At 46.7% G+C, this 10,544-nt stretch overlaps 1 annotated feature.

Moving 5' to 3' along the window:
• Window positions 9,081-9,275: a silencer, noted in NCBI's record as "fragment chr2:16140957-16141151 (GRCh37/hg19 assembly coordinates)". NCBI's record gives its function as "represses an EF-1alpha promoter that drives an FKBP-Casp9 reporter gene in an ReSE screen in K562 erythroleukemia cells {active_cell/tissue: K562}" and the evidence as "EXISTENCE:reporter gene assay evidence [ECO:0000049][PMID:32094911]".

A 10,544-nucleotide genomic window follows, 5' to 3' on the forward strand; every position in this document is an offset into this window, starting at 1 on the left:
CCTCAGGGGGTTGTTGGCTGACGTGAGGAAATAAGATAATGGATGCAAAACACCAAGCATGGGGTCTGGCATGTGAGTGTGAAACAAATGTCCGCAGGCTCCTCCCAGGGTGCCCCCTGACGCCCTCCCCTCCACTGCAGTCAAACTGAGGTCTCACTGTCTTCCAGGCACGCCCACCCTCACTGAGCCCCTATCTCAGATCTCACCCCTTCCCCTGACTCCGATGCTCCTTCGCCCCATATCTGTCTGTTGAAGTATTACCCAGGCTTGAGAGGTACCGCTCAAATGCCCCTGTGTAAAGAGACAATTGTGCTCGTTCTTTTTTACAGGACTGAACACCTCCTGCCAGGCAATGATCTGCTTTTGTGTATGTTTCTACCCAACTCTTCTTGTTTGTTGGTGGAAAAGAAATGGCCATAGTTTGAATGATGGCTTTTTTTTTTTTTTTTTTCTGGGAGGGAGTCTCGCTCTATTGACCAGGCTGGAGTGCAGTGGCACGATCTTGGCTCACTGCAAGCCCCGCCTCCTGGGTTCAAGCGATTCTCGTGCCTCAGCCTCCCGAGTAGCTGGGATTACAAGCGTGCATCACCGTGTCCAGCTAATTTTTGTATTTTTGGTAGAGATGGGGTTTCACCATGTTGACCAGGCTGGTCTTGAACTCCTGACTTCAAGTGATCCACCCGCCTCAGCCTCCCAAATTGCTGGGATTACAGGCATGAGGCACCGCGCCCAGTTACAATGATGGCTTTTTAAATTGATGAACCATGTGACCATGGATCACTTACTCCAGCATTTCTGTGCCTCAGTTTCCTCCCCCATAAAATGAGGATAAAATGAGGATAACAATAATGACATCCCAAAGAAACTAGAATAAAATCATGTGTAAACGGCACAGCATCTGACCCAGGGTGCTCACTCCATCATGTTAACCACTGTTAATTCTTATTAGGCTGTAACTGTGGAGTCCATGTCTTACTCTTTCTTGTTGTTTGTTTTTTTAGAGACGGGGTTTCACTATGTTGCCCAGGCTTGTCTTGAATTCCTGGGCTCAAGTGATCCACCTGCCTCGGCCTCCTAAAGTGCTGGGATTACAGGAGTGAGCCACCATGCCTGGCCAGTCTTACTTTTTTTATCCTTTGTAATGTTTGGGGATAGAGTTAGCACATGGTGAAGGTTTATTGAACCTGAGAATGAATGGTGGTTTGCAACGAAACTAGGTCCATGATTCGGTGGTATGCTGGGGGGCGCGGGTGAGGAGAGAGAGAGAGAGAGAGAGGGAGACAGCATCATGAATAGCTCGAGCCAGGGACTTAGCTGGACCTGTGTTCAAATCTTAGTGCTGATGCTCACCCACTATGTGACCCTAGGCAGTTCAACCTGTGTCTCAGTGTTTCAACTCTAAAATGGGGAAAATAACACCAGCCTCATAAGGGAAGTATGGGTCCCTTTGCAGACACCCTCTCAGCAGCAGCTTGAATGATTACAGTGAGGATGGTTTTCCACAAGGCTTTTCTAGGGGGATCCCCACACTAGCCCTGGATAGGGTGCAGAGCCCGTCCTGGAATGGAGGGAACAGGTGAAGCGCCGGACTCTCCTGGGGACAGGCGTGCTGCCACGTGTATCCCCAGCCATATGGTGCAAGAACACTAATACAGTTGTCTGTGCACAACTGTAACCGACAATCTGCCAATTGTTTGTTTTTGAAGGCACCCCCCACCATGTGACAGGTGGTTCCACACCACAGTGGAAGTACTGTGAGAGACAGAACAAACCCTGTTTGCCCTGGGGCCCAGGTCAGAGAAAGGACAGAAGCACATGGAAATGATGGCTACAGGAGATTTTAAAATAAAACAGTTGACCATTAGAAATTGGGGACCACTTGGCAGGGAGATTTGAGGAGATAATTTTCCACTGTGCATCAATTTCCTCACCTCTAAAATTCAGGAGTTAGGCTGGCTCACGGCTAAAGGCCTTTCCAGATCCACCATGCTAAGATTTGAAGACAGATGCCTTCCGTATCCACCAGTTGGCTTTTTAAGGCTTTGACCAAAAGATCTCTTGCTAATAACATTTCCAGTGTTCCACGTTCATCTGACCATGTCACTCCCCAGCTCGAACCCTTTGGGGCTCTCCGTTGGCCATAGCATAGCCTTCCCACCCTCTTCCCCGGCTCACTCAGCTCAGGAGTTGACTTCTGCTGGGAGCCCCCAAGGACTTCTTCTCCAGGTCAGGTGCTCCTTCATGGTGCCCACGTCTTCTGTGGACCTTTGTCTGGCTCTTATTGTGCTCTTTCTTTTCTTTCTTTCTTTCTTTCTCTCTCTCTCTCTCTTTCTTTCTTCTTTCTTTCTTTCTTTCTTTCTTTCTTTCTTTCTTTCTTCCTTCCTTCCTTCCTTCCTTCCTTCCTTCCTTCTCTTTTTTCTTTCCTTCCTTCCTTCCTTCCTTCCTTCCTTCCTTCCTTCCTTCCTTCCTTCCTTCCTTCCTTCCTCCCTTCCCTTCCCCTTCCTTCCTTTCCTCCCTCCCTCTCTCTTTCTTTCTTTCTGTCTCTCTCTTTTTCTTTCTTTTCTCTCTTTCTCTCTCTCTTTCTTTCTTTCTTTTTTTTTTTTGAAATGGAGTTTCACTCTTGTTGCCCAGGCTGGAGTGCAATGACGTGATCTCAGCTCACTACAACCTCCGCCTCCTGGGTTCAAGCGATTTTCCTGCCTCAGCCTCCCAAGTATCTGGGATCACAAGCATGCACCACCAAGCCCGGCTAATTTTGTGGGGTTGTTTTAGTAGATACGGGGTTTCTCCATGTTGGTCAGACTGGTCTTAAACTCCTGACCTCAGGTGATCCACCCGCCTCGGCCTCCCAAAGTGCTGGGATTACAGGTGTGAGCCACCGCACCCGGCCTTTCTTTCTCTTTCTCTTTCTCTTTCTCTTTCTCTTTTCTTTTCTTTTCTTTTTTGATGAGGTCTTGCTCTGTTGCCCAGGCTGAAGTGCAGTGGCATGGTATCAGCTCACTGCAACCTCTGCCTCCAAGGTTCAAGCGATTCTCCTGCCTCAGCCTCTCGAGTAGCTGGGATTACAATCACTTGCCACCACGTCTGGCTAATTTTTGTATTTTTAGCAGAGACAAGGTTTCACCATGCTGGCCATGTTGGTCTTGAATTTCTGACCTCAAGTGGTCCACCCATCTTGGCCCCGAAAGTGCTGAGATTACAGGCATGAGCCACTGCGCCTGGCCCTTGCTGTTTCAACATGAAAGTTGTGCGGGCCTGGCCTGCCTTCCCTGTTATCCCTCCTTTCACAGAAATGAGGAAAACAATGAGAGAAGGTGAGAGAGCTGGAGGTGAGGTAGAGAGAGTCAGTAGGAAAGTGTAGGAGGGAGGAAAGAAGATAACCTGAGAGCAAGGGAGGAAGAGAGAGAGAGAAAGAGAGAGAGAAAAAGAGAGAAAGAGAGACAGAGAGAAGAAAGGCAAAAAACAAAGAAGGGACTAGAGAGGAAGCCGTCAGTCCTTTGACTTGTTTGTGCTGTAAGTCTTACATCTATAAAATAGGTGTAAAAACCTTCACCTAGGGTGGGCATAGTGGCTCATGCCTGTAATCCCAGGACTTTGGGAGGCTGAGACTGGAGGATCACCTGAGATCAGGAGTTCAAGAGCAGCCTGGCCGACATGGTGAAACCCTGTCTCTACTAAAATTACAAAAATTAGCTGGGGGTGTTGGCGGGTGCCTGTAATCCCAGCTACTCGGTAGGCTGAGGCAGGAGAATCGCTTGAACCTGGGAGGTGGAGGTTACAGTGAGCCAAGATCATGCCACTGTACTCCAGCCTGGGTGACAGGGCCATCTCTGGGAGAGTGAGACCATCTCAAAACAAACAAACAAACAAACACCTTCACCTAATAGCTTCACAGTAAGGATAAAAAAGAGAGTCATGTGAAAAAAGCATTGTACCCTCTAATCTTGGGGATACTATCAACTACTACAAAAAAATGAAAGAAGTCACTCTGTGTATGCAAAGGCATATGGAGACAATCAGCGGTAATGTGTGCAACATACACAGCATCTCGCCTGCTCATAGAAGGTACTCAATAAACAGTAATTGTTATCATTATAATGATGACTCTTGGCCTAATGAAGCCGTGTCTACCAGGAACATCTGACTTCTCAACACATTTCTGAAAGTCTAGCCTTCCTCTTACCCAGGCCTTTTTTGGGTGTCTGATACTGTGCTGGGGCAATTGGGACACAAAGTCAAAGAGGACACCATCTTTTTCCTTATGGGATTTATATCTGGTGAAATCACAGAGTCAGGAAATGCCAGAGCTTTCAGAGCCTGTGTCCCAACGATTTCCTTTTTTAAGTGGAGAGAGCTGAGAGGAGCTCACACCTTAGCTTGTGGCAGAGCAGAAGGGAACTCATTTTTTTTTTTTTTTTTTTTTTTTGAGACAGAGTCTCACTTTATCACCCAGGCTGGAGTGCAGTGGCACGATCTCCACTCACTGCAAGCTCTGCCTCCTGGGTTCACGCCATTCTCCTGCCTCAGCCTCCCGAGTAGCTGGGACTACAGGCACCTGCCACTGTGCCTGGCTAATTTTTTTGTATTTTTAGTAGAGACGGGGTTTCACCGTGTTAACCCAGATGGTCTCGATCTCCTGACCTCGTGATCCGCCCGCCTCGGCCTCCCAAAGTGCTGGGATTACAGGCGTGAGCCACCGCGTCCGGCTAGGAAATCATGTCTGAACTCTAGTGTGGAACACAGTCTACCAAAATTTAAGGAGAAACATCAAAGATCAATAAACATGAAAGTAAGCAAATACTACCACTGTTCTCAGAGGAAGGGAAAAAAAAACAAAACATGTTTCTCATTTTTCTTTTAAGCCATTTCTATGTTGCTTTTCGGAATCAGGCATGTATTGCAGTTTGGTGCTTGGGTTTTGCCATTGACATTGCAACTATTTGTGCAAATTAACCAGAATATAGTAAAGTAGCAAGCTCTACTGAGGGCCTGGAATCCATTTCATGTCCTAATGCATAGTCATTACTCATAATATGTTCAAAATGTACTCCTTGGAACCCCAGCTTGAAGTACCCAGAGATCAATTTTCAATGGACTAATAGGTGACATTAAACATTATTCATAGAAACAGTGTTTATTTAATCTTTAATGCTACCTAATGCATTTTGGTCAAAGTCCTCAGTGTATGTTCAGGCTTTATTGTGTGGAAAATGGATGTGCTATTAATAAGTCAATACAAATACAAATATGGTTTCAATTGGAAATCATTAGGTTGCATTAAATGGCAAATGAAATCCATAGGAAGGATTTGTTTTATTTTGTTTGTAAGGAGGAAAAGGAGCCTTGAGAGGCATTTCTTCGCTCGGTAATGAGGAGGAATGATTGGTTTCTGCAGAGGGGTGGATTACAGGCTAAGCCTTGCGTTATTCTCGTTAGGATGGGCATTGGCACAGCTGTTTGCTGCCGTGGGCCAAGCCGAAATTGCTGTGTGCTTTGGAGTCAGCCAATGCCTCCCAGCACATAGCGGGTGGAGTCACTGCAAAGCTGTCTCCTTCCTGATGCTGGTGGCCCTGGGTGGACCTCAGCCCTCTTGAAGTCAGCTGGATCTCTGAAGGCACTGACTTGGACGCTTCTATTCTCCCGGCTCAGCAGCAGCACCTGTGAAAGAGCATGTAGCCATTTACGTGACTAAAAGCTCCTTATGAGTAGAAAAGCAGCCGAAACAGGTCTTCCGCTAAAGCAGAGATTCTTGGGCAAGTACAGTGGAGGGGGTTACCTCAAGCCTGTTGTAGTGAATGAGAGTGGAAACAGATCAGGATTCACATTCTGGTCCCTCCATGTTTCATCCGTGTGACCTAGAGAGGAGAGTGCTTTCACCATCTGAGCTGTGGCCTCCTCATCTCCATTTTGATGACTGCATGAGCTCATGCCTGGAAACGCTCCCACAAAGTGGGGCTCCACAGACGTTTGCTTCCTTCTTCCAGTCCTGGGAATCTATGAATGTATGCTTGAACCCTTTCTGCAAATCATTCCCTTTATCCCACCCAACTACAAGGAATATCCAGGCCAGGGCAAAAACAGATAGTTGTTCAGAGCTGCTTAGTATTTTTAATGAACAATTTCATCTATTTTTAACTCATCATATTCTTTCTGCTGCTGCCCAAACTGGGCAGCTGATCTGTGTCTCTCGCTTGGCACAAAGCAGGTGAGACCTTGCACGCTTTTATTTCAGTGGTTGTCCCTTTGCTGAGAAGCCCTGGGCCATCTCTTCATCTCAGTGAGAGGTTCAACAGGGCCCAGAGATGGCCCTTCTGGCTCCCAGGTGGCCTCTGTAGAGCCTGCCAGCTGCTTGTGAAAACATGAGGTTGGATGGGCAGTCAACCTGTAAGGAAGTTCCAGCAGAAACATAAAGTTTCTGAGAAAAGTTCCCCCAGTCTGCAGAGCATCTTATGGCCAGAGGGACTGTGGTCTTCTGGTTCCATCTCCAGCAGAGACAGGGGAAGGAGAGGCAGGTAGCTTCATTCAACACACTCTCCAGAGTTACCCCAGAGCAGCTGAAATCTACCCAGATCAAAATAAAATATAACCCACGCTTGCATAGCAAGTACCATGTGCCAGGCAAGGATCTAAATGCTTTAATTCAGTTCCTCCTTGCAACCATCTCCATTTTACAGTTGAGGAAGCCAAAGCACAGAAAGGCTAAGTCACTTCTGAAAGGTCACGCAGCATGTAGGAGTGGAGCGAGGGTTAGAATACAGATCCTGTTCCAGAGTCTGTACTCTTACTCAGAGCACTATCCGCTTCTCATGGTATAAACACCTGCTTAGGGAGGCAGCGAGGCGATCCAGAATTCTGGTGGATTTGGAGATGTTCTCCCAGTACCTGGCTGTGTGGCCTTGCCAAGTGATCTGGTCCCTTTGAGCCAAGTGTGTTATTTGTACTACCTGGCAGGGTTGAGTGGAGGTTGAGAGACGAGTGATATTAAATGTGTACCTTATTGCCCGACACATTATAGACACGCAGACACCTCAAGCATAATTGCTGTTAGTATGATTTCAATATAAAAAATACATGTGTACTTTCTTCCTGGAGATTTGCACTTGGTAACATCTGAGCGGTGGAATCCAGGGGAGGGAGTGTCCCTAGAGGTCCTCGGTTCTTACACCCGTCCCTTCCTGGATCCCTTCTTCAGCAGCCCCGTGGGTTCCTTGCATACCTGCCATGGTAGGGCCGCATGGCCTGTGGCAGTAGCTCCTTCTAACACACAGCTGTGGAGTCAGGTAGATCTGAATTCAAATCTTGACCTTCCCTGCTACTTTGTGACCCTGCACTGTGGACAGGGCCCTGGACCCCTCCGAGCCTGTTTTTGCAGCTATGAGAAATGTTGCTGAGTTACTGTGAGGTTGAAGAGGAACTGCTATGCCCCATGACCGGGAAGTCACCTGGCACATAGTAAGATCTCAGCAAGTGGCAGCTACATGTGTGCTTCTTATCCACTTTGGGAAGTCTAGGTTATCTTGTGCACAGAGATTTTTTTTCTCTGTGGCTTCCACTCACTGCTTCTTATTCTCCCTTGAGACCACGCAGCCTAAGACTAACCTCTCTTCTACATGACAGCCCCTAGGCTTCTGAAGCCTGTTTTCCCGACCTCCCTGAATCTTCTTTTCTCCAGGGAAAATGGCCCAGGTCTTCAACAATTTTTTCCTGTCCCAGATTTTGGTCATTTTGCACATCGTTGTTCATCTCAGTGATATCACACGTTCAGTGCTTACATCATCAATCTTTATTTACTTGATTGTGACCAAACTGTGGATGTTTTCCACCATCCCAGGGCCTGGGAAGAAAGCTAGGATCAAATGCTACCTTGGCTGGGGCAGCCATTGCGTGTTGAAGAGCCATGTGCATAGCAGAAGCAAAGTGACAACCATTGCTCTCATTTGACCTCTGGGGAACCAGGGAGTAATTTAGGACTTGAAATGTGGGATGCAAATTAGTGTCTGCCTACTCACTGGCTTCAGGAAAATGGCTTTCATTTTCCGAGGGGATTACAGTAAATTACACCTGGAAGAGACAACCTAGAATGATGCCTCAAAGTGCCCTGAATTAATCGAAGGGTCCTCGACACACATATATGTGTCGTGGAAGTGGAAGAGAAAGATGGAGACAGGGAAAGAGAGCATTTAATAGATTAATTAGGAAGAGAAACTGGCTTAGCTCCCCTTTATTGTGACAGTTTCTGAATGCTTGAGTCTTAAGTATAGGAAGAATACAGATAATGATTACCACTCTCTTTACCTGGGGTCTCTAGCATTGAATATATTATCCTAATATAACGTTCATAGGTACCTAATTGCAATGTCAGAGCTTCTCTTGGGTCTCAGAACACATTACAAATCAAGCATGGTGAAGCCAAATTAAGATATGAGCTGAGCGAGCTCTCCTTTCCTACAAAAGAGGGCCTGGCACGTGCCTGGCTTCCCTGGACAAAATTACAAGAGATAGATGTCATAAGACTCTCAACGAAGGGAAGCATTTTTTGCATTCTTCCCCTAGAAAGTCCAACATGGAGCTGGGAAATTGACATGAGGGCAACAATATAGTTTGGAGGAGGAAAAGTTCAACAAATGGGATCATTTAAGCTTAAGAAAGTCAGCCCAAGCGGTCATCTAATCGCAGTGCTGGAGGACAAGAGTCAGTGTCATTCAGTGGAGAGTCAGGCTTTGCCTTTGCAGACTGAGAACAGATTGAGTAGGGAGGAATGAAATTGTAGCACCAAGGACCCAGGTAAACCATCAGTGAGAAAACCCCAGGAGTGAGAGCGAGGTGGTTCATCTGCAAAGGGTTATTTAAGGAAGTCAGAGGATTGCTTTGGCTAAAGTTTTTTAACGTCAAACTCATGCTTTCAGAACAGTTTTGAGAGAATTCTTTCTGGAAAAGGATCGGGTGGCGCTTGGCATGCTTCACCACGGAATTCTTCTGCCATTCCCTGATTAGGCATGTTTCCTAGCAATTAGATCAATTGGGTACCTGAGGAGTCTGTAAGGAAGGGAACCAAGCCCTTTTCTTGGGAGCTGGCAGCCTGGGCAGAGCGTGCGAGGACTCTGCCAAGAAAGCGGCCCTGAGGTTTCCCAGGGAGGGGCTCCCAATGCAGGAGGGCAGTCCTGGGCTTCATTTGCTTCACAGCTGACTCCATGCTGCTCAACCTCAAATGAGATTGTAAAACTCAAAAGTCAGGAGATGAGGTTTTTTTGGACTTAGTCACTATCTTCTTATTGATAACTCATGTGAAAAGACAAGCTCACCTTTTCAATAGTTAAAAAAGGCTCAAGGATCCTCATTATTGATAGGAAAGAAATGTGTGTGTGTATCCACAGGCATGTGTTGCATCACGATGTTTGGTCAACAAGAGCCTGCATATGTGACAGTGGTCCCATAAGATTGTAATGGAGCTGCCCTATTCAGGTGTATCTTTAATTTACTTTATTTTAGAGACAGAGTCTCATTCTGTTGCCCAGGTTGGAGGGCAGTAATGTGATCTTGGCTCACTGCAGCCTCTGCATCCTGGGTTAAAGTGATTCTTGTGCCTCAGCCTCCCAAGTAGCTGGGATTACAGGCATGCACCACCACTCTCGCCTAAATTTTGTATTTTTAGTAGAGATGGGGTTTCACCATGTTGGCCAGACTTGTCTCAAACTCCTGACCTCAGGTAATCTGCCTGCCTCAGCCTCCCAAAGAGCTAGAATTACAGGTGTGAGCCACTGCACCCAGCCATTTTTTATTTTTTTATACCACATTTTTATTGTACCTTTACTGTGTTTATTTTTGTTATTTATTTATTTATTTATTTATTTATTTATTTATTTATTTATTTTTTGAGATGGAGCCTCGCTCTGTTGCCCAGGCTGGAGTGCAGTGGTGCGATCTTGGCTCACTGCAACCTCCACCTCCCAGGTTCAAGCGATTCTTCTGCCTCAGCCTCCTGAGTAGCTGGGATTACAGGCACGTGCCACCATGCCCAGCTAATTTTTGTATTTTTAGTAGAGGGTTTCACCCTCTACTAAACAGGGTGAAACAGGGTTTCACCATGTTGGCCAGGCTGGTCTCGATCTCCTGACCTCGTGATCCACTCGCCTCAGCCTCCCAAAGTGCTGGGATTACAGGCATGAGCCACCTCACCCGGCCTTTTTATTTTATTTTATTTTAGTTTTTTGAGATGGAGTTTTGCTCTTGTTGCCCAGGCTGGAGTGCAGGGCATGATCTCGGCTCACTGCAACCTCTGCCTCTTGGGTTCAAGTGATTCTCCTGCCTCAGCCTCCTCACTAGCTGGGATTACAGGTGCCTGCCATCACGCCCGGCTAATTTTTTGTATTTTTAGTAGAGATGGGGTTTCATCATGTTGGCCAGGCTGGTCTTGAACTCCCGATGTCAGGTGATCCACCCACCTCTGCCTCCCAATGTGCTGGGATTACAGGCATGAGCCACCATGCCCAGCCCCTTTACTATGTTTAGATCCATTTAGATACATAAACACTTACTGTTGTGTT

Source organism: Homo sapiens, chromosome 2 (genome assembly GCF_000001405.40).
Source record: "Homo sapiens chromosome 2, GRCh38.p14 Primary Assembly".
In the NCBI taxonomy this organism is placed as follows: Eukaryota; Metazoa; Chordata; class Mammalia; order Primates; family Hominidae; genus Homo; species Homo sapiens.